The 23,492-nt window shown below is 42.8% G+C and overlaps 1 protein-coding gene across 4 annotated transcripts in view; it reads left to right on the top strand.

Moving 5' to 3' along the window:
- The window catches only part of DPF3 (double PHD fingers 3), a 285,068-nt gene that overhangs the window by 216,898 nt on the left and 44,678 nt on the right, over positions 1-23,492 (top strand). For 3 of the 4 annotated variants that reach the window (NM_012074.5, NM_001280543.2, NM_001280544.2), the window contains 3 exons: positions 2,836-2,964; positions 5,866-7,252; positions 14,371-16,154. In NM_012074.5, the coding sequence (NP_036206.3) occupies positions 2,836-2,964; positions 5,866-6,068 (332 nt within the window). In that variant the 3' untranslated portion in view covers positions 6,069-7,252; positions 14,371-16,154. Of the gene's footprint in view, positions 1-2,835; positions 2,965-5,865; positions 7,253-14,370; positions 16,155-23,492 lie in introns of those variants that run through there. The other variant, NM_001280542.3, reaches the window with a different exon arrangement.

The following is a 23,492-nucleotide window of genomic DNA, read 5'->3' as shown; positions in this document are numbered from 1 at the left end:
CCAGACTAAAAATGTACCTCCACACCCCAGCTGGCCTGGCATGTCACTCCTGCACATACCGGGGCCTATACATGGGATTTTAGGACCTCCCTCACCCCTTGGACAGGAACTCTGTATGGCCAACAGGATGCTGCTCAGACTCCATCTCGTCAGAAGCTTCCCTTTTTCAGATGAATTCAATTCTTTTCCTTTGGTCTTTTTACGAAGGCTGAATTCTTCCATCACTGCCTGCTTAGCTCTACTAGATCATTTCTAATTTTTTATTTCTTGTAGTATTAGAGTTCCTGATTCAATAGGGTGTTCTACCAATGGTCTGTTGGTAGTGAATGCTGTGTAGAATTGTATTAGTCCATTTTCATCTGCTAGGAAGAAACACCCGAGATTGGGTGATTTATAAAGACAAAGAGATTTAATGGACTCACAGTTCCACCTGGCTGGGGAGGCCTCACAATCACGGCAGAAGGCAAAGGAGGAGCAAAGGCACATCTTACATGGCAGCAGGCAAGAGAGCATGTGCAGGGGAACTGCCCCTTTTAAAACCATCAGATGCCATGAGACTTATTCACTATCACAAGAGCTGCTAGGGAAAAACCTGCCCCCATGATTCAATTATATCCTACTCAGTCTCTCCCATGACATGTGGGGATTATGGGAGCTGCAATTCAAGATGAGATTTGGGTGGGGGCACAGCCAAACCATATCAAGAATTAATCTGCAAGCTTTTATACTCTATATTTTACTTACTCATCCTCATACGTCATGAGGGAGACAGTGTGTTGGAGAAAATCAGATTCTTTAGTTGCTTAAAGATCTTGTGAATGGGGAGGAAATTGAAAATTATAGGAAGTCCCTAAGAGTATAGGAGAGAGACAGCTGAGGAGACTAGGCCCCCTGTAAGTTTTTATGAATGATATATATGGGATTCTCTGATTGCCTTCCATACAGGAAGCTACCTAAGTAACAACTGGCATCTCCACATTTTATATCTAGCTCATATCAATCATGACACTTAACTTTGGTTTACCCTCAGCCCCTAAATTTAGTATACCCTATCTCTTCTTTCTGTTCACCATTTGATAGTTTTCCATCCATATCTTGTTGAGGAAACCCTGAGTTTATTTGCTTCATAGAGATGCTTGGATTTTCTTAGGAGAGTTCTAAAAATGACTAAGATGGCAATTGAGGGAGAAGGGAGAAGGGGACTCTGGTACTTCTGGATTTGGGCAATGAAAATTTATAGGCAGAGTAAAATATTTGCAGATATACTGCTTTTTGGAGATTATTTGCAAAAGCATTCTGTATGCCATGCAAATGTGTTTGAGATCCAGGGACTGATGAAGACAAGCCTACACTGAACAGACCCCAGAATGTGGCCAGCTCCTCTGTGTCCCCCAAACAGCTAACACTTCTTGCAGAGAATTGTCTGCCTCCCTGAAGATGGAAATCAATGACTTAGAAACCAATTAAACAATCCAAATAGCAACTGATAAATGGATTAACCCTCTATAATGAAATTCCTCTAGCTTTTGTCTTCCGCCTTCCCCAGGTAGGTTTTCTATTCCTGGAGGCAAAGCAGAGGCATGGAGGAAGTGGAGGCCAGAGGGAATCACATTAAAGTGGGTGAATCCGTTTATCACTTACTGTCTGGATGGTATTTCTGCTCACATCTCTGCTTCCTTTTTCAGATTTGTACCGTATGGGACCCTGATTAACGTTAGCCAGTGAATAATGAAAGGCAGCAGCAGACACTGGGTCTGGTGAGGAGGAAGATACTTGGGTGGTTAGGGCTGATCCCATAAACAGAAAGACTTTTCTTCTTAGTTACAAACAGGGAGTGTGAATATGACAAAGAAATGCCCGCAATAGGGAGGGAGAAACAGAAAAAGGGAAGTATTTCTCTCCATGCAAATAATCTGTTCAAGGCTTCTCAAGCAGCCCCTGGAAATGGAATGATTTTGGTGCATAAGGACAGGTGCTATTCTCCTCACAGGCTTTGTTTTCAAAGTCATGTCCTAAGATTTTTCTTTGCTTTTGTTTAAGGACCTCCAGCAGGAGTGGGTTTTGAAGTTAGTGTGTTCAGTTATTCGTGACGGTCTTAAGCCTAAAGACATGCTCAGTAACTCACCGTTTAATCCATCTCTGGCATGAGGCTGAGCCAAGTGCCTAGAAGCCTGGGTCTAGTTCTGATTTTAGGCACTTGGGGTCTTGGGCACTTTCCATGATCAATGGGTCTGGACTTCAGGGAGATGAGACTCCCCTTCAGGGAGATTGATACTCCACCAAGTTGTTTGTCCAAGTCCCCAAGAGCATCTTTGGTGTTATTCCTGGAAATGACCTCCCATCAGTGCTTCTTTGTTTTCCATTTCAGGGACAGGAAGAATATCTCCTAAACAAGAGCACTGTTCCCAATGGCAAGGTCCAGGCACTGGCTCTTTCCTCTCCCTGTCCTCACACCATGGTGTGTGGTTTCCATCTGATGCCTGGGGCCTGGGCCCACAGGGCTGATTGTTTAGGGCTGAGAGTAGTTCACTTGACCAGTACCTCTTCTGGATGGTTTGATCATCTAAGGATGCAATCAGAGGAGCAGGGTGATTTCTGCAACAACACAGAGCTGGGGAATACTCTAAAAATTAAACTCTGGGTGACTTGCAAGATATTATTAGTACCATTAAACCCGGAAGGATCCAAAAGAAAGCGTAGCCCAATTTGCCAACTTGGTTATAATAAAACCTCAGATTCCTTCTGGAGCAGATTCTACCACACTGTAGGAGGAGAAGAAGGGGCAGTTGAAACTCATGTAAGCCTGAAATTGGAATGTTTTAAATGTTCCCACAGCCCAGAAAGGACCGGATGGAACAGTCATTCCCAATAACTACTGTGACTTCTGCTTGGGGGGCTCCAACATGAACAAGAAGAGTGGGCGGCCTGAAGAGCTGGTGTCCTGCGCAGACTGTGGACGCTCTGGTGAGTGTGGCCCCTTCCCACACCGGGTGCCCGTAGACCAGGAATGCTCCTCTTGCATTCCTCTTCCATCTTGTGGTGCTGGAGACTGGAGAGGGAAGCGATGGTGGCAATGCTTTCGAGTGGAGAGGAGTTTTCAGCTCATTCTGATATTTTTCTTCTTTGGGTCTCAAGAACCAAAAGTTATGCCCTAGGATCCGGGGGAAAGGGCAAAGAGAAGTTTTGGGTTTGTGTCTGGCCTTTCCATGAGGTGCATATTTCTTTGTGCGTGTTTTTACGGACCACAGCGAGGTAGAGTGGAAAAACCTGGAGAGAAGGCAACGTGCTTTCTTGTAGTGGATGATGCACATGTAACAGAAAGATGAGTTTGTTCTGTGGAAGTGCCTAGGGCAAACCCGAAGAGTGTGGTGTGGTGTGGAAACATGAGTATTCGGAGAGCAACCACATCTTGAATTGTGGGAGTCAGAGATCCCCGGGCTCCTGGCTAGCTGCATAAACACCACCGCCATTGGCCACTAATCTCATTTTCTAAAACAGAACAGAAGAGACCCCGATAGATCAATGAGGCAAAAGGACAGGCATTCCTAGGGCTAATCTGCAGTTGATTTGGTGTATATGTTTATATTTTAACCTATCCAAAGACTAAAATAACAGAAAGAGACTTTTGGTCTTGTTCCTTCATTCTTAAAATGAATTCAGGTCTTCAGGTTATGTTCAAATGGTTGTTTTGTTTTTTAGTTCTAACCAAACCATTATTTTTGGCTGGCCATGGTTGGTTGGTACTACCTATTTTTCATATTGTATTATGTCAGCACTAGACCACAGTGTGAGGCAGGGAGGAGGGAATTTCAACCCCATTTTTAGTCTCATCAGCCCCTGATATGAGTAGGTGAAACAGTTTGGTTGGATGCTTTGTTCCAGCAATGAGGAGTCATTTCTCCTTTCTACCTTTCTATCCAGTGTCTTTTTCACTCCCAGTCCCCAGAGAAGAACTGAGATGACCCCATCATGGTTGACTGTAGCAACTCAGCTCTTTCCTTGCTCTGTCTGCAAACCTTAGCTTTAGCCCTTTTATATTTTGATGGTAGGGCTGTTTAGGGCTTAAGGCTGGCTTGAGTAGCAAATCAGTAATTTTAAAAGGACTGTGGTTTCTGCTGCACACAACCCTCAACGTGTGACTCTCAAGGGTGGTCCATTTGTGCAATTCTGTCAGTTCATTTACTTTCCAAACATGGTACCTAACATTGAATTTTTTATTCTATGGATGCTAGCGTAGAAGACAGGGCCCTTGTGATAGCGGACTCTGTTTTTTTAAGATACTTAAAAAAAACAGATGAAATTCAATGCAGTGTTTTTTTAAAAGCAAGCAATCAGATGAAATCTCTACTTCCAGAAGCAAGGTCACTTGAAGTGATGGTCTAAGCAACACGTTATGGACTGCTGTAGGTTTGGATGGGTTAGAGGGGGCAGCTTCAGAATTCTCATTGCAAACTGCTGTAATTTCTCCCCTTCCTTTCTTACAAAAGAGGGGTGCTAGAATCGAAGCCATGGGATGTCAGGAGTGGGAAGTTGTTTTTTTCTATGCAAAGCCTCTTTCCACAACCTTCCCTCAGCTTTCCCTCCAAGGTTCTGTCTGCTATGTGGCTCAGGGAGCCATTTTCTACCAGCCTAGGTATTCTCACTGCATTTGCCAAGGATTGGTTTTGGTAGATGATTTAGTCAAGGTCTGACTCTAATGTTCCTGAAATAGTTGATACCATGGGAAGAAACAGGTGTCATTGGCCCATGAGATGAGATGTGCTTGTTAAGGCAGGTGGGCGAATACTTCTCTGGAGCCTCCCTACGGTCCTTCCAGAGAAGAGTATGGAGCTTGGAAGAGCTTCCTTCCCCTCCCATCTACCCTACCACTGCTGTTTCCTGGGAGAAAGTGAGGTTCCTGAAATTGGCACCATGAGGGATGTATCATTCCTTTATACAAGAGCAGTCCTGGGGCTCATTTAGAATGCAAAAAAGTTTAAACCTGAGTTTTACAAATTTCAGGATGCTCTGATTTATTAGGGCTTTTCTACTCCTATTTCTCACCTTTGTAGTGCCCTGAATGAGATTTGACAACTGAACTTTCTGGAGTAACCGATACCTGGGCATGGCTGGTGGCTGGGTGTGTGTGTGTGTGTGTGTGTGTCTGTGTGTGTGTGTGTGTGTGTGTGTGTGTGGTGTGCACACGTGCACATGTATGTGGATGCAGATCACAGAAATTTCCTCCTGTGGTTAAAGGAAACAAACTATTTTATCACCTACCACTTATCAGACTTTCCAACTTCCTTTTGCTTTCAGTGCAAATGAACGACATGGCGTAAGGGGAGAATTGAAAGGGTTCTGAAAGAATGGGATTAGAAGCGGGTAAAATAAAAATGAAATAGATGGAGGCTTAACCACCTTGAATGGGTTATCTGACAGTAATACCTTTGTACAGCTGACTGTCAAAGTGAAGGACAAACATTGTTCAAAGAAACACCAACAGAAAACACCAAAGAAATCCCAACCAGGCTTAAAAACCACCAATGAAAATCATTGTCTGGGGCAGGGTTGAGTGAGCGTGCAAGCGCCTGTGTGTATGCACAACAGAAGAAAGATCATGGTTGAATCTTTTGCTGTCGGAAGCTGTGGACATATGTACTATGGTAGAGATGATGCCTTTTCGGGGAGTGGGGGAAGCCTCTTCCCTGGAAATGTTTGCTTTGTCCCAAATCCCCGTCACCAGGTGATGCACCGGGTTAATCCCTTTGGTGTGCAAATGGTTTTATATCTTGCTATTAAGAATAGCATTGTAATAATGTAATGAGAATATTAATAATGCTGTCTGTTGCTTAACCCATGTGCTGATATATTCATCATACATGTCAGCTCATTTGGGAGGAGAAGGCAGGAAGGAGAAGGAGGCAGCGGCCGCAGCACGTACCACGGAGGACTTATTCGGTTCCACGTCAGAAAGTGACACGTCAACTTTCCACGGCTTTGATGAGGACGATTTGGAAGAGCCTCGCTCCTGTCGAGGACGCCGCAGTGGCCGGGGTTCGCCCACAGCAGATAAAAAGGGCAGTTGCTAAACCCACGGAACAGACTCTCTGGGCAATTAGCCATCCCCCTCTGACTTTGGTCATTGTGCTGGTTCTGATATATATTTTTTTTAATGAAAGGCAACTTTAGATTTTCCCTCTATCCTTGCTTTTTTTCCCTTCACCTCCCACGTGTCCCTCCATCCCTCCCCCCACCCCTCTGTTTTGGGTATGTACAACAGAAGCACAAACTACTGAAACAAAACAAAACAGCAGAATGAGCGTTCTTCCGAGAGATGGCATCGTGATGCGCTATTTATTTTCCATAGAAATAGGAAGTTAGACGGATTGTCTCTTTTCTGAGGGGAGGGGGTCTTTTTGACAGGAGCAGAGTTGATGTCCTCAATTTTCATATTTATTGGCAAAAGGAAGAGAAGAGGAACTTTGGGTTGGAAACAAAGAACCAATAACATTAAAACATTATTATTTATATATTCTAGCTGTTATTAGAATCAGACTTTTTTTGCGAGAGAGAGAGAGAGAGAGAGAGAAGGGAAATCAAAGAAATCGAAGCAATATCCTGTTTAGAGGCAAGCCGCCCGGTGGGGAGAATTTCCTCAATGGGAGACGGTTGCACTATTCTGTGCCCCACGGAGTTTGCGGCTCCCCGCGGCAGACCCCTCCCTCATTCTCCTCCCTGACCTTTCCATCTTCCTCTCTGCTTGCGAGAAAATGTCAGTAGTTCCAGAGAAGTCGGGGTGCCTATGCCTGGCCTCCCTCCACACCTGGGCCCTGACCAGCCGCCTCCTGGGCTCCTCCTCCTCCGTCAGTAGAGCTGCTGTTTTGTTATTGCTGGTTTTTCCTCACTTTCCTCCTGGCAAAGAACGACTTCCAAATGCAGGGATGGAATATAAGCAGAACGTCATGGGCTCAGCAGTGACTCCACCACCCGAGGCCGAGGCCGTGCTTCTGGAAGATAGAAGGAGACATCATCGTGTGTTTCCCCTCCCCTTGCCCCTGTTAAGAAACGTATCAATACCCATTGGATGATCAAGGCTACCGTATTTCTTCTATTTTTTTTTATAGTGCCTGCCAGGCACTTTGTTTTATGTTTCCAATAGCACTTCCTGAAATAAACCAAAGCAACACTGCTCAAGGCCCCTGGGGCGATGGAGAAGGCCACCCACCTCACTGACAGTCCCAAGAATGACCGGCTGCGAGGTCCTAGTCAAAAGGTATGTCTTGGCTAACCTGTCTTGCAATGTGGGCAAAACCATCATATCTATTTTTTAGTTTTCTTTTTCTTTTTCCTTTTTCCCCCAGCTTGCTTTTTTGTTTTCCTGGGTTTGGACTCCCTTCTTAGTGTAAGAGTGGCTGCTGGAGTGTCTCCCCCTGGCCCTCTGTGGCCTGTGTGTGCATGTGAACTCATGTGGGCCCTGGCATAGGTGTGTGATCTGAGTCTTGCTTGGACTATGGGAGGGGCTCAGTGTGGAGAATGGCAGGCTTCTGGCTTCAACTACAAGAGAAAATGGCTGGGGAAGTGCTTGGCTAACTCTGCCTCCCTTGGCTAAACCTGGAAGTGAAATCCAGGGAACTGAAGTTGGAGTTGGCTGCTGGATTTGGGTAGGAATAGGGAGGTTGTGGCCACAGGGCACTGCATGTCTAGGTGGTATTTCTTACTCTCGGTACCAATTTCAAAACCAAGGGGATGAGTCCAAATTAAAGAAGATCCCTGATTAGGCACAAAACTCAACTTGGCTGTTTGGAAGATTCTGCACTCCCTTTAAGGTTGGCCAGGGTCTCTTGCCTCCAGGAGTGCACAGTTCTGGAAACACAGGCAGAACCATTTGACATGGGTTGGGAGACCCAAGTAGCTGCCTGGTTAACAGACTGCTTATCAGTGTCTCTGGGAAGATCTACTTTGACAGTCCAGCCCCTGCAGATCCTCATGAATTAGACCGCTCCTTAAAATAACAAACCAACCTAAAACACAAGGACAAGCCAAGAAACCCAGAAATGAGACCTTTGTGCTTTCCTGGTAGCCTGAGACAGAAAGGGCTTCCACTTTTCTCATGCTTGAGATGTGTATGTGATCGCCTGGGCATTTATTCTCAGTTTTGAGGGAATGAAAGTAACAATCCCAACCACTTTTGGGTTGTTCTGTCTAATCTATATGTGGCCTGTTCCTAGGAAATATGGCATAAACCTCCAAGGTTGTCATATTCTGCATGCTCACACGTCAGCCAATAGAGTTTGTTCCAGTAGGTTTCTGCTACGGGGATACAATGTACACTTGCTGTCATTTTCCACCTCTTTACTCTGTACCTTTGACTCAGATATTGGATTCATGGGATTACAACTTGCTTTCATTGATAAAATGTGAGCTTCTATGTTAATAAACATATGTTCAACCAATCTACACTCTCATTTGAATTCTGTCTAGTTGCTCATAGTCCCAGAATTCTCAATGACAATTTGCCTTTACACTTGAGGTGTTTTTTTTTTTAATCCACATATTTAAAGCAAATTATAAAAGGCTACCTAATTTCAGAGTCTAGCTTGGAGTCTAACAGAGAAACTAACCATTTAGAACTAACAAGGCAAACTCCCAGGAGAATGTTTATCTGAGAATGGGTATTGCTTGTCTATTTTATATTTAATAGTATAGCTTGATATTTGATCTTCAGTTTCTCTTCTTGGAGGTAGTTGATATCCTCACTTTTCTTCCTTGGGGTAATAGAAGCATAGTAAGGTTTCTTAGCATGGCCAGACCATCTTGTCTCACCTTGCTTATAGAGTCTTTGAACGGACTCAAGATTTATACCCTTAAAAACTGGAAGGGACTTTTAAGATGATCAAGTTCAAATCTTTCACTTTTCAGTTGAGAAAAGTTGACCCAGAGAGGTTAAGTGAGTTAAGTTGGAGGGACTGGGATGGGCATTGCATTGGAGGGAAATGTTTTAAGGCAAAGGAAGGAAGCTCCGAGAGAGAAGGTGTCGGATGAGGAAGCTGGCTGTCCTTGGTTTCCAACCACTTTAGTGGTGGATGTGATATCTTTATCTCCCTTTTTCTAGATAGCAGTCATCTACATTTTTGTGTGAGGCATTATTCTGGGCGCTTTCCTTGGAATATTTCACTTAATCCTCATGACTACTCCCATGAGATAGGTGTTTATATTAATCCCCAGTTTGCGGAAACTGAGGTTAGTAATAAGGTTAAGAAATGTACACCTAGGAAGGAGCCAGGTTTTGATCCCTGGCAACCTGATTGTAGAGCCTATACTCTATCGTTGCCTGCATTGCCCCTTGCATAGTCTATAATTAAGGAATATATATGCATGCATGTATACATACTTTGCTGTTTCTCAATTCCAACTGAAGAAAAGGGTTTTTGTAATGAATATAGCTTTTAAAAGGTAACGTCATTAAAAGAAATTTCAACAACGGAAGAGTAAGCAATTAGATCCTGTAAAAGAGAGTTCTAATTCAGATTCTCTGCGGAATATTGTAGATAACTTACCTTCTTAATCATCACTTCTAGACAATGTACAAAGAGATCACCTTTTTTGTGACCTTAGGAATTGTAGGAGCTGTGTGAACAGTCAACACACCTTTCTGTTGTTGCTTTTGTTAAATAAGTATCACTACTCAAAATTTAAAATACAAAAGAAATTAGAGTCATCAAGATGAAAACGATCTGGCCAGCTTCCTTTGCCCTCAGCTCAGTAAAGTACCACCCTGAGTTTTCTGAGTCCCAGGCCAAAGAGAGGGGAACCAAAGATATAGAACTTTCTAAATTTGTTACAACATTTTAATCCCCTGGGGAGGGGGGCTGTTGACCTAAAGGTGACAATTGTTATGGTCTAGCTGATTTTTTTCCCTACCTAGAACAATCAAATCCTTTATTTCTGTTACTGAGAGACTATGTAAAGATCAGACACTATAATCACTATGACCCTGGGAATTAGAAATATGCATTTAATTTTTTAGAGGTACTATAAAGACAGTAATCCAATTTGCTACCGGTATTTTAGAGAGAAGAATTTAATAAAAAAAAATGTGATGTTCACATCAATAGCATCCCTTTAAGGGTTCCTGCTTACTCTGCATCTCTCTCTGCATCTAATGGGCTACAGACTGATACTGCTTTATACAGCACTGGAGGGAATGCAAGATCATTACTCAGGGAGAGAACTAAAGGGTGTTTGGGGGTTCTCACCTCATGGTGGAATAAAATTAATTAATTTTATCCCAGTATACCTCCTGTTACATCTGATGAATATGATCTTGAACGTGTACTTAAAATTGGAGCAGACTCATCTGTTAGGAATTTTTCCTCAGGGGATTTTGCTCAGCCTTTGGAGGAGAAGTGACTTGTGTTGTGTATTTTCTGAGTGAGGTGTCTTTGATCTGGTGTGTGGAAGCCTAGAGTGGAGATGACAAGTTCTGGGCTCTGGGCTCAGCTCCCTGTGTGAATTTGTTGACAGGGATCTCTGCCTCAGTTTCTGAGAGAGGAAATGGACATTTCTTTCCCTATTAGAATATGTAGCTTATATTATTTCATGATGATGCTTAACTCTATGAGGTAGGGTAGATGTTATTTATTCCCGTTTTACTGATGAGGAAACTGAGATTTGATCCTGTTTGATGACTTGTCTAAAGTTCCAGGCTCAGTAAATGATGTATGGATCTTCTAATAATCTTTCCTAAGTCTATACTGACTTCCCCAAAGATCATCTTTGGAAGATTTCTTGAGTGAAATCAGTAAAATGCCTGTAGGTCTTTTATTCAAGAATTTATTGGATGAAAAGGAGGTATTTGATTCTGTAAAAGAAAAAACTGAAACAACAGAAACCCCAAATGAAACTATGACACATTAGAATCTTTCTGAGAAGTAGCAATGTCTAAGTCCTCATGAACTTTCTGGGAGAACTAAAGTTGAGCTTCCTAAATGGTCACTGTTTTTGTGGTGCCAGTGGTAGCGGGAGTAATGGTGGCAGGGAGTGAACATTTTGGGCCCTGGTCACAAACCCAATTGCTTCTAACACAAAAACATTGAATTATATAATATTGTGGTGTTTAATAAAAGTGATTTCTGATCACCTATTCAAAATAGCAATATAGGAAAAGCCATTCTGCATGATTGGTTTACAAAATAAATGGGAATGATGGAAGATTCCTGTCAGAACTGAATTATTAGATAAAAAACATTGGCAATTAGGTTTTCAAAGTATCTCACCACTGGAACTCAACCAATAACTATGGCTTTTTAAAAAATTTACTTCTGAAATAATTTACACTTACAAAAAACTTACAAAGATTTTACCAAGAATTCCCATATGTCCTTCACCCAGATTCTTCAAATAACCACAGTACAATGATCACAATCAGGAAATTCACATCGATGCAATGCTATAACCTACAGACCTTATGCAAATTCTGCCAGTTGTCTCACTAGTGTCCTTTTTCTGGTCCAGGATCCAGTCTGGGCTCACAGGTTGCCATGTCCTCTTACAAGTCCTTTAATCTGGAATAGTTAGTACTACAATCTTGTTTTTCACAACCTCGATACTGGTTAGTCATTTCATAGCAAAAGCCATTCAGTTCAGGCTTGGATGCTGTTTTTCTAATGACTAAACTGAAGTTGTGCATTTTGGTTAGAATACCTTAGAAATGATGTTGTATCCTTCTCAGTGCATTACATCAGGAGGTATGTGATTGATTTACCCCATTACTGGTGACTCAGACATTTGGCCTTTCAGCTGAGATTTCAGGCTATTCTGTTTACAGACCTTGGATGATAACATTTTCATTCAGATATACCTCGGTTCATTTGGCAACTAGGGACTGAGTAATAACAGTATGCGTGTGACTGCTCAGCACTGTCAAGGATAGGATAAAATTAAACATGGGGCAATGAATTTATTGGCCATTGGATTTATTTTGTGACCTAGTGGATCAGACTAGAAATTCACAAATAGTTAAAATCATGTAAGAGCTGTCATGGGGTAGTATGTGATTATTTTTGCCATGGATCTCAGTAGACAAGAAGATTTTCTTGGAGGAAGCCATCTAGATCAACAAAGAGCTCCAGATGGACCGTTGCTGTTGAATCTGTAGGCAAGAATGTCTATTGTCAGAGACAATGGAGATAATATTCGAACAAAAAGCAAAGCTGGGAATCACAACCTAACCCATGTAAAATGGCAAAAATCACCATTTGAAAACCCGCCTAAGTACCATTCCATAGCATTTTGTTCCTGCCGCTCCTGTGCTTATCACAACACATCATGTTTGCTTGTAGTCCTTCTCAAACAGATGGCGTGTTCCTTGAGGGCAAAGGTGATATCACTCATATCCTCCAGACAGTGCCTGACACCAGTGTGCCATAATTATTTGTTGAAATAAACTGAGAACTGAGCAGTTTCTGAGATAATTAGTGGAAGTCTTACCAAATCTCACTCTATGCATAGAGGATGCTTAATAAATATTGTTGACAGAAAGAATGGAGAAGTCTCTGGACACAGCATCCAGTGGTTAAGTCAGAGGGGGCAGGTGGGAGGTGGTGAGGTGGTGGTGAGGGGTAAAGGAGAGAAAAGGGGGATGTCAGGACAGGGGTGGGGAGGGGTTGACCATGTGTGTGGAGGGGTAGAAAACTATGCCTTCTTGCAGGGGATTGAGAGCAGGAGACTAAGAACACAGCTGCACATTGTTTCATTTTTGTGGCCTGCAGTTGACCTGACCAGAGGAAACAAAAGAGAAAATGGAAGTTAGGAGTGCCAAGTTGGGACTCACGCATGATTTTCTAGGTGGCTTTAGTGGGGCAAAGGAAAAATACATGTGTGTGTGTGTTGGGAGGTCGGGGTGGAAATTTGAAGAAACTGAAAGGTGTGGGGTAAGCTTATGAGACAGACTCACTACAGAGTGGCAGGTAACATCTGACCAGAGGGGTCAGGGCACTGGGAGAGGGACAGAAAGACTCCTGGCAGGGAGTGAAATGATGACAGATGCCCATGGAGAGAACAATCGGCAGGCGTTCTGTGGGAGGTCCCAGGAAAGGTCACCTGGGTTTGATCAGTCAAGGGAAGGAGCTAGAGGCAGGTGGTGACAGCAAAGAGCATGAGGGAAGTGGGGGTAGGGTGCACCAGCAAAGCGGATCAGAAAGGGAGACAGTGGGGTGGGATGGGGTAGAGGCAAGGAACAGGAGCAGGTGTGGAGGGAGGACTTGGTCAAGGAGGAAAGTTGGATGAATGGAGTCTCAGCTTTGGAAGAGCATCTAATCCAGGCCTGTGCACCTGGCCATTGAGTGATGCTTGGGTACCAGGAGAGGTGGGGCAGGGGAGGGGCCTTTCAACTTGGAAGAGGCTGAGCTGCTCATTTGCTTTTGAGCTTTTTTCCTTGCTGGCTTGGCCATTTTCCATTTAGGCCCATTCTCCCTCTTCTCCCTCCCTTATCGCTCAGCTTAATGTGATCTAGGCACTGTTGGGACACCCATCTCTGCTTTCAGAAACTGCTTCCGGGGTGAAATGTGGCAGTACTTGGTTTCATTGCTCACTCCTTTGTGTCAACTACTCCGTTCCAAAGACCAAAATGGCAGATTTCATTTCAGCTAGAAGCAAAAGCTATGCGTGGCTATCCAGGCAAAAGGGCCCACCTGTGTGAACCACCACCAGGTTCCAAGGCTGACAAAGGGATCACTGTGCTAGTAGAGGACTGGAACTGGTCTCTTGGTTGGGGACTGTCTCCGAGTAACTCTGACACACTTGAATCACTTGGGGCAGGGTTGGGGCTGAGTGTGAGTGCTTGTGAAGGAAGCAGTGTCCTTTTGGGCTTAGGCCAAATGAGGCATCTGATGGGGTTTTCTGTGGCTGAATTGGTTCTATACCATAGAACTACTCATTTCTACTTGGATGGCAGGGAGAGAGATGACATCATAAAGGTCCTTTCTGGGGTGTTTTAACTGTGAAAAGATTCAGTTTGTTTGGTTTCTAAGTGGAGGGGAATTTTTTTTTTTTTTTTTTGCTAACACCCAGTTCTGCCTGCTACACCACCTGGGAATTGACCATCCAGCTGTGTTCTCTCTGCCTCTGGCCCAGTAGCAACTGACCTGCCCTATTCCTGGCTGATCTCATGCTGCTGAAGTTCAAGGCGCTGGACACACTACCCTGATTTTTGTTGCACCTGGCCTAGCCTCATTAACTTGGCAATTAGTTGGTGGTTTTCTTTCTTTCTTCTTCTTTTTTTTTTTTAATTCATTTCATTTCTGTCACCCCTTAATTTTCATCTTTCTTTTTTAAGTAGTTGTTCCATGCTGTTGTTTTTTGTTTTATCTTTCATTGCCTTTCCCTCTGCAGTCAACATTATGACCTGGGGACTCCAGCATCCTTCAAGCAAGCCATTTCCGAAGAAGGTGAAAAGAAGCCAGGATGATTGGCACCTCCTCCTCCTCCTCCTCTTCTTCCTCTTCCCTTGCCCAGCCCCCTCCTGTGCGTGTGTTTCAGACAACACAGGAGCCAGCACAGGAGTGGAAAATCCTGCAGCGCAACTCAGCTCAGCCCACAGAAGCCTTGGGAATGGCCTCAGTTTGTGCAATAAGAAGATTTTTTTTTTCTTTTTAAATCTTCATTATATTTTCTTTGATTGTCTGTGAGAAAGTACCCAGGTCCGCCTGGAATTACTCTACAGTAGAAATAACTGAACACAAACAAACTGATGGAAAAAAAGAGTTAACTATTTTATTTATTTCAATATTTAAAAGGAAAAAAGTGCTGACATGGCACAGTATTTTTGTTTAAAGTACCTCCTACTTCAAAAGTTAAGCGCAATTTTGTGAAGACATGAAATCATAAGAGTACTTAATGTAAAATAAAAGACTGCATATTAACTCTAAAGAAAAATGCCCCACATTTTAAATAAGAAAATAAAGATCAACTCTGCTCTCTCAGGCTTTTTAAAAAGCCATTCATGTATGTGCTTTAGGTATTTTTATTTCTGCGAGTTGGATGTGGTAAGTGAGGAGTGCTCAGTTTTTTTTTCCTCCTTCAAAAGTCTATTGAAAGTGTTGGTGATGTTAAATGATTGTGTGTTAAGATTTGACTGAAATAACTTAGCCACAAATCAGCAGTTTCCCCCACCCTCATTGCCCCCTCACCCCAGGCAAGCCCCTTTTATCTGAATGTCAGAAGCAGCCTGCCTCCTAGTTATCATGTCTGATGAGGTCTAGCTCAGGAAGGAATTCCATCTATTGATGGAATATATCCCCTCAAGTTCAATAGATTCGAACACAGAGAGCTTTGTTTAAAATAATGCAGCAAAAAAAAAAAAAAAAAAAAAGCAAAAATAAAAGCATCAGCTGAGGTGATATTAGTTCAGTCACCTAACAACTCCTAGAAGAGATGAGGAAAGGGAACCTTCTGCTGAGCTGGCTTCTGGGGCCTGAGCTTCCAGAGCTGTCCCCAAGGGCTAGGAAGGCCGACCTGAAGGATGAGAACCTCAAATTCAGTTGCTGGTGGGAGCCAAGGAAGACGGCGGGTGTTCTAACATGGCCCTTTCTGGCTGAGCTGGCGGAAGTGGGCGTTTTGGCCGATGGGATGTATCTCGGCGCTGTGTCTGTGGCCCAGCAAAGGTGCAGGGCTGACTGGCTGAGCCACTGGGTTCTACCCGCAGGCTCCCCACTGCACTGGGCTTTCACACAGCCATGCTCTTGGGTTTCCCTCCCTTGTAAGCAGAGTCATAATAACACACGAATAGTCTAAGGCTGGGTATTCTGGTCAGCAGAGGTCCTTGAGTCACAGTGTTACTGAAATGGTTCTGAGCCTGAGAATCTCTTTGGCCTCTGAAAGGGCAGGGCAGGTGGGCACCGACTTCCTGCCAGTCCTTTCAGGTTTCCTGTTCAAAGCCAGTCCTGTTGGTGGAGGGGATCACCGAGAGTGTCTGTATCATTTTGTAGCCCTTTTCTCTGACGTTTTCTGGTAGAAAATGTCCCTTGTCAAAATGCTAATAATTATCATAATAATCTGCTTTCCAACCAACTCCCACAAGTGACAACCTGTGTAGAACTGTGATAAAGGTTTGCATAATGTAGGGTTTGTACCAAGTGTGTGTAAGTTTCTGTTAAATAAAAAGTCTGTTTCCAATGCTCCTATAGCATCTCTGTAAAATTTGCTTGACCAACCAAGCTCATCCTGTGTGAGTTCACTTTCACGCCGTCATGCGGCAGGGACTCCTGAGATGATTCTTCCCACTTCCATGCCAAGATTTGTTGAACCTTGTTGTTTTATTTACAAGCATGGTCTAGAACAGCAGTTGCCACTGGCTTGGCTGACAGATGGTGGCCTGGAAAGTGAACAATGCCCAGGGTTGGTGCCAGCGTTCATTCTCTGAGCCAGGGTTGCTGTCACCCACTCCCCCATCACCATCACCATCACCATCATCACCCTCTCCATGGCCAAAATTGATGGATTGAAAGCCTGATTATGTGAACCGACTTAGTATACCTGTCCAAGGTTGCTGTCACACCTGTGCCAAGAATAGAAGTTTTGCACAAAAATGCAAGATTTAATGTGTGCTTAGAATAGGTGGGAGGTTAAAATTTTCATTGCCTGGAAGGTGCTGTTGGTGTAGCCTCCCAAGCTGCCGGTTGGTGCAGCTGTCAGCTGGAACCCCCGGGGTAGGCTTTCCTTGTGTGTGAAGATGGGCCCTCTTATCTGAGGGGTCCTCTAGGTCAGACAGAACCAGGTGAGCATGTCAGGCCAGGTCTTGACCTTTGAGCATTGCTGGCCCCCAGTGGGGCCAAGTGGAGATGAACATGACACTGTAATGCTGCTGCTAGTGTACTCCATCTTTCTTTAGACTGAATATCACGTTATGCCTTGCATTATGGACTTTGTAAGTTTTCCTAGCAGTAAAAAGAAAGCCCCACACCAGTATGGTGCCCTCCTTAGGGTTTTTTTTTTCCTTTTTATTGTGATGAAATATGCATTACATAAAATTTGCCTTTCTAACCGCTTTTAAGATATAGTTCTGTGTCATTAAGTACATTTACATTGTCGTGCAACCATCATCACCATCCATCTCTAGGATTTTTTCATCTTCTCCAACTGAAACTCTGTACCATTTAAACACGTACTCCCCATTCCCTCCCCAGCTCCTGGCAACCACCATTCTACTTTCTGTCCCTCTGAATTTGACTCCTCTAAGTACCTTGTATAAATGGAATCATACAGCATTTGTCCTTTTGTCACGGACTTATTTCATTTAGTGTAATATCTTCAAGGATTATTTACGTAGATGTGTCAAACTTTCCCTACTTTTGAAGGCTAAATAGTATTTCATTGCATGTGTAAACCGCATTTAGCTTATCCATGTATCTTTTGATGAACACAGAGTAAAATGAAGTTTCCCATATTTATTACACATCACCCACTTCCTATAGTGACTCAAAATTTGAGACATTAGGTTCAATTAAGAAGTCACCTAAGGAATAAAATATCTTCTTCCATGGGAAGCGATTGCACCCTCTAATTTACTCTCTAGAAAAGAGGACCTTGATTCTGATGGGCCAGTGCTTTCTACCTAGAGTGTGTCTTTCCTCATGACTCGGGCTTTCTTTGCATATACTATCTTTGGGCTGCTCACAGGGATGAGAGGTCTGGCATGAAGGTGTACTATCCATGTAAATAACTAAGGATAGAGGAGATCCAGGATGATCAAATGTCCATAATAGTGGGCCATGAGGACAGGGACTGACTTTTTCACGTGTCTGATAATGGGTTGTAGGCCAAGAATGATGTGCTTTCTGTCTATAGATGGTCACTGACCAAGAGGGAGGGCAAAAGTACACACATGGGCCAGAGAATGAAAAAGAGAGAAAGAAATCATGTTCCTCATCCACTCGGAAACATGTAGTTACCATAGATGGTTAGCTCTGGGGTTGCCAATCCGATGCTGACAGAGCAGGTATCTTTGGTGAATGAAGCAGGGCAGGTGTGACATAAATGACAATGCCAGAGAGATGTGGAACAGCCCTTGAGGCTCAGTCTCAGGTCACAGGGAGACAACAGGAGTGGTAGGGAGTGTCTCAAACCAGGAAGCACCTGTGCTTCCAATGGGGCAGCCGTGACTCAGCTCAGGGGATGCAGCCTGCAGGAGGTGGGCCCAGGGTTCCCAGATCTTTTTTTTTTTCAAGGGAGGTCACAATTCAAACATTTTGATGAGATCTCCCCATTTTTCAGTGTTGGTGATAAATGAAAAATGAAAACTGAAGATCAGCTTTGAGTGCCCTAACTGAACATGACCATGTGCCTACTGGGCACACTTAGATGGCTTTGGGGCAGCTTTTCCCAAGGGCTGCCAGTCTGGGTAAGGTGGAAGTTGAGGTTGGCATGCCTTGTTCAGATTCTCATAACAGCGGATCTTTGCCTTAATCTATGGATGCCTCTAGCAGTATCCTGACTTAGGATTGTTATGTGGTGGGAATGGGTCCCTGGGTTGGTCTCTGGATGGAGCTAGGTCATTATTCAGCACATGTTAGGGATGATTCAAGATATGGCTCCACCAGAAAACATTCCCCTATCCATTTCTTTTTCCTCTGCATGTACCTGGAAGACCTTCTCTTTAGAACTCTGGGTAGAGTTGTACAGTTTAGAGATTTTTTAAAAAATTCAGTTTATTCTTATTGATGACCAGTTGTCTATTACATCACATTCCTTTTACCCTTCTTTTCTAAGAAACCCAAATCACTCCATGTAACTAGAACCATATTTGAGTTTTATTATATCCCTAAATCATCAGTTTCAGAACTTCCTTTCATTAAAAAAATCCTTCCGGAATTTTAATTTAAATTAACCTTGTAAGTATTTTATATATAGACTTTTACAAATTTTTTAAATTTTTTGTGGATACATAGTAGATGTAGATATTTATGGGGTACATGAGATGTTTCGATACAGGCATGCAATGTGAACATAAGCACTCATAAAGAATGGGGTATCCGGCCCCTTAAGCATTTATCCCTTGAGTTATGAACAATCTGATTACACTCTTTACATTATTTTAAAATATTCAGTTAAGCTACCACTGACTACAGTCACCCTACTGTGCCATCAAATAGTATTTTATGTTTTGTATGCATCTTATTTCAGAGTATACTTTGTAAGAGAGTTAGGCTGGCTTTTAAGTATGCGAACACTACTCGCTGGGGTCATGGTTGTTTTCTGGTTTTGTTTTCTTTTGTTGGGTTGGAGAGGAGGTTATTCTGAATAAGAAATTTTTTTGCCTTATCATTTATAATGGGGATCAGCAAATTTCTCCTGTAACACACCAGATAGTAAATATTTAAGGCTTTGTAAGGCAAACATCTGTCACAACTACTCAGCTCTGGGTGAAGCATGAAAACAGCTGTAGAGGATATGTACAGGAATGGGCATGGCTGTGTTCCAATAAAACTTTATTTACAAAAATAAGCAGTTGGCCAGATTTGGCCCACAAGACATAGTTTGCTGATCCCTAATTTAGAAATGAGAGTATTGCACTGCTCAGTTGGGGGTGGTGGTGGTGGTGGTAATAGGGCATTTTCTAAGCTTCAGGACTATGGAAAGAGAATTTCACATTACCAGGTGAAAGGCTACTGATGCATTTCATGATCAGTACTGTAAACTATTTCATGGCCAAATGCAACAAATGTTTCACAGCCAGAAAAATCTCACCACAAGATTTTGGAAAGCTGTTTACTAGTTTTTCTAGTTTTGGTACAGAGTCCAAACTGCAGTAGTGCCATGTTTACCAGAAGTGTCTATGAATAATCCAGCAATGCATAACAGCGACTCTCCATTGTGGACATCATGACTAATATTATTCATCTCTAGCAACTTGGGTCTTATGAGTTAAGTGAACATAGATGGTAGAGTTTCATCTGTATGAGACAAATGATAGGAGACAATGAGTGGGGCCCAACTTGGGAGATGTGGAGTTGTTGCCATTAGAGAAATGGTCTCTTTGGGGTCAGCACAGATTCTTTAATGGCTGTGGCTCCTTAAAGTGGTTAATTATGGAATGTTGAGGATGTTGCTGAGATATATTTCTTCCTAAGTACTCAGATTCTTCATATTCAGAATCACACTTTCCCAACTTCTTACTTCACCTCCCAAAACAACCAGTAAGATAACATGTTCTTCCTTGGATGGTGGAGAAGATTACTGATGCCAGACCTACTACTGAATTGAAACCTTCTTACTAGTTGCACATGAAATGATCCTGAAGGGTGGTCGATGAGCTAGTCATGATAGGTGGTAGTAGTCAAGCTAAGTTTATTGAAGAGATGCTCTTTAGCCATTGTTAGTGGATACTCCATTGTGCTGAGAGGATCAGTGACTTTCAGACCTCAGGATAACTTTCAGCGGGGTTTATTGCTAAGTTACCCCAGTTACCTCCAAGTTTCCTGAAAAGGGGCAGTGTTTGGGATAAGCAGGTTAAATATCTGTTTCATTTTCTCCAAGTTCTACCCTGTGATCACATATGAAGTCACCCAGAAGTTAGTTTTCAGGCATAGACCAGGAGGAGAAAGAGTCTTCAAACTAAAAGTTAGAAAATGCTATGCTTTGTATTTTATTAAACATTGTGTGAACGACACACATCGTTTGGTTACCTGATCTTTCTTTACACCAGACTAGGAAATACTTTTTTGAGAGGTGATGACAGTGGTCATCAATGGTTTAGCATCAATCTGCTTGACTGGATTATGTTGATTGTATTATTGGCCATCACCTGGCAAGGCACAATTATAGCTGAGATAGATCTGGAAGTCGTAGTGGATCACAAGCTGGAGGAGTATTGTGTTGTTTATTTTTAAGAAAGCATGATAACCAAGCTGCGTTAAACTAGGAATGATGTGGAAGGTCTGGGAAGCAATGCTTCAGCTCTATTTAATATTTGACACCACTGTGTTTGAATTAGCGGAAAAAGACTGTGGGAAATCCAAAAAGTACAGAAAAGCTTATTAACAATATGTTTAACAGGATGAACAATAAGCCCTTTAAGGAAAGGTTTGTGGATTTGGGGTTGTTTAACTTGGGGAAAAGAATTAGGGGTCACTTAATAGCTGTTGTTATGTGTATCACTGAGATAAAGGCACTGACCAGTTACATTTGGTCTCCAGGGAGCACAGGAGAAACACCTTGGTGCCTAAAACAAATAGACAAGCAGTTCTTTTGACACCAAGCATTTTAGACTGTCGAGGCTGATGCGGAACTCACTGATAGCCAAGCATTTCTCTTGCATAGAGTTGGGGGCATGGGTTAGATGACCTCTTGGGGTCCCCATTTAGTTCTGTAATGTTTTACATTATAGCTAGATGACCTGGAAGAGTTGGTGCCTAACTCACCACCAGGAAGTGGGGAGACGTGGAGAAGATTAGTTTCACGGATATGTATTCTGATCACTAACTAAAATTACATTTCTAGGCTTGTTTATATTCACACTGAAGCAATGTCTCAAGCCTTTTGTTGACTTCCATTGTTTTGGTAGCATGAGCCACGAGCTGAAAAGTGAATGCAGTGGCAAGACACATTTTCCTCCAGAGAAATGCCAAGTATGTGAAAAAGAGACAGTGAGAAGAAACTGTAAGAACAGTAAGGCCAAAAGGCCACCAGGTGAAAATGGTTCTGCTGAAACTCCATCTGAATTCCACTCCAGTTTTCATCTCACTGGACACCACCACATCCAACATCATCTTTGGTGCATGGATTTCATAATTGCTCACAGGACTTGGATATTATTCTCAGCATGATTTTGGTTGAATGACCTCACTAATATTCATGGTTGTCTACTATGTTGTCTCCAATCTGGGGAGGAAAGGTCTTATTAGAAGACGAATTTAATTATATATACAATTATATTTATATATGTTACATATATAGATAAATGACAAAAATTCTGCTTCAGAAAAGAAGTGATCGGCATTCTTTCTAAATAATTTTAAAAAGAACTCCAGAAAAATTTTGCTCTGTGTTTGATTTAAAGAAGTAGCAAGGATTGTACCACATTTAGCACGTGAAGTGAACTTTCTGTGGACCATACATATTATGGAGTTTGGGGATGGAGACAACTTATGTAAGAAAGAATGTAGTATGAATTGCCAGCATGAACATTTGTGCTGAAACTTCTGCTTGGCTGAGTGATGAGTACAGAGAGACTGGCAGTTTGTAATCCTGAAAACTTCTTTAGTTAAAGTAGACTGTTTTACCCTCCATAGATCTCAACTTTTTGTCCGTAATTGAAAAATAGATCCATGTGTTTTGACCGCATGCTGCTACTTTGTATAATGACCCTCCAGTTACTGGTTTTCTTTATACTACTTATAAATGAATCAAACATATACCAAATGTCTTGTGTTGCCATAATGTGCTAGGTTCTGCAAGACATAAAAGAAACAAAGGGGAACTGGAATAACCTTTTGGGGGTTACTTTCTATGCATTAGTTACTGAGTCTAGGCTTTTTATAGATATTAACTTGTTAAAGCCATATAACAGCCCTTTGAGATTAAGATTACAATTCGTATTTTACAGAGATGGAAACTGAGGCTCAGAGAGATTGAGTTGACAAAGGCAGTGGTGATTGCTGGTAAAGTCTGATTTTTCCAATCAAGGATTTTTCTGGCTCTAAAGGCTTCTCCACTGTGTAAGGCACCTTTTCTGTTCTGGAGGAGGTGAAAGAGGTGGTTAGCATATTATTCAAGACAAGACCATTTAAAATTAAGTGCCAACTTGGTGCAAAATGTGAGTGCCAGTTAGGCTCAGGAAAGGGACCAGTGCAGGTTGGAGTAGCGGGGGAAGTATAGAAAGAGGCATAGAGTTGGGGTAGACAAATAGAAGGCAGACCACTGAGAGCAAGAGTGGGAAATACCTGAGCAAAGGCTCAGAGGTGTGAATGGGCCCAGGAGGCTTGGAGCCCGAGCAGAGATGAGCGTGAATGGAGTGGAAGGAAGATCCCAGGCTGCTGGGGGGAGTCACAGGTATGTTACGAGCGTCCACACTGTGGTGGGGCTTGATTCACTAGGGCATTAGGGCACTGTAGGAAGGAGGAGGCTGGCCACGAGCTCTTGAGCAGGATGCATGTGATGTGTAGGATGATTGTGAGGACAGCTGAACTGGGCATGTAAGGAGTTTGGGTTTGTCTACCTTTCACCACCAGGTTGCCTCTGATCCTGTCGTGGTTATAGGATCCTAGACCTTATGGGGAAAAGAAGTGATCAGCACTCCTTCTAGTTGTAGATGTCGTAACAGAACCCCAGTTTCTCCTGTCTTCTGGGTGATATTTACCCAACTGATAAAATCTTCAAAGTGCTGAGTGTCAATTCCATGGGCATTTCCCACCAGTTATTATTCTGAAACCAGAGAAACTGCGATGACACTACCTGCTGGGTGGTAATGCATTTGGGAGGAGTGTGGGATATCCTGAGATGCTGGCTGGCTCCAGAAA

Source organism: Homo sapiens, chromosome 14, assembly GCF_000001405.40.
Source record: "Homo sapiens chromosome 14, GRCh38.p14 Primary Assembly".
Lineage (NCBI taxonomy): Eukaryota > Metazoa > Chordata > Mammalia > Primates > Hominidae > Homo > Homo sapiens.
This window is presented reverse-complemented; position numbering and strand designations above follow the sequence as displayed.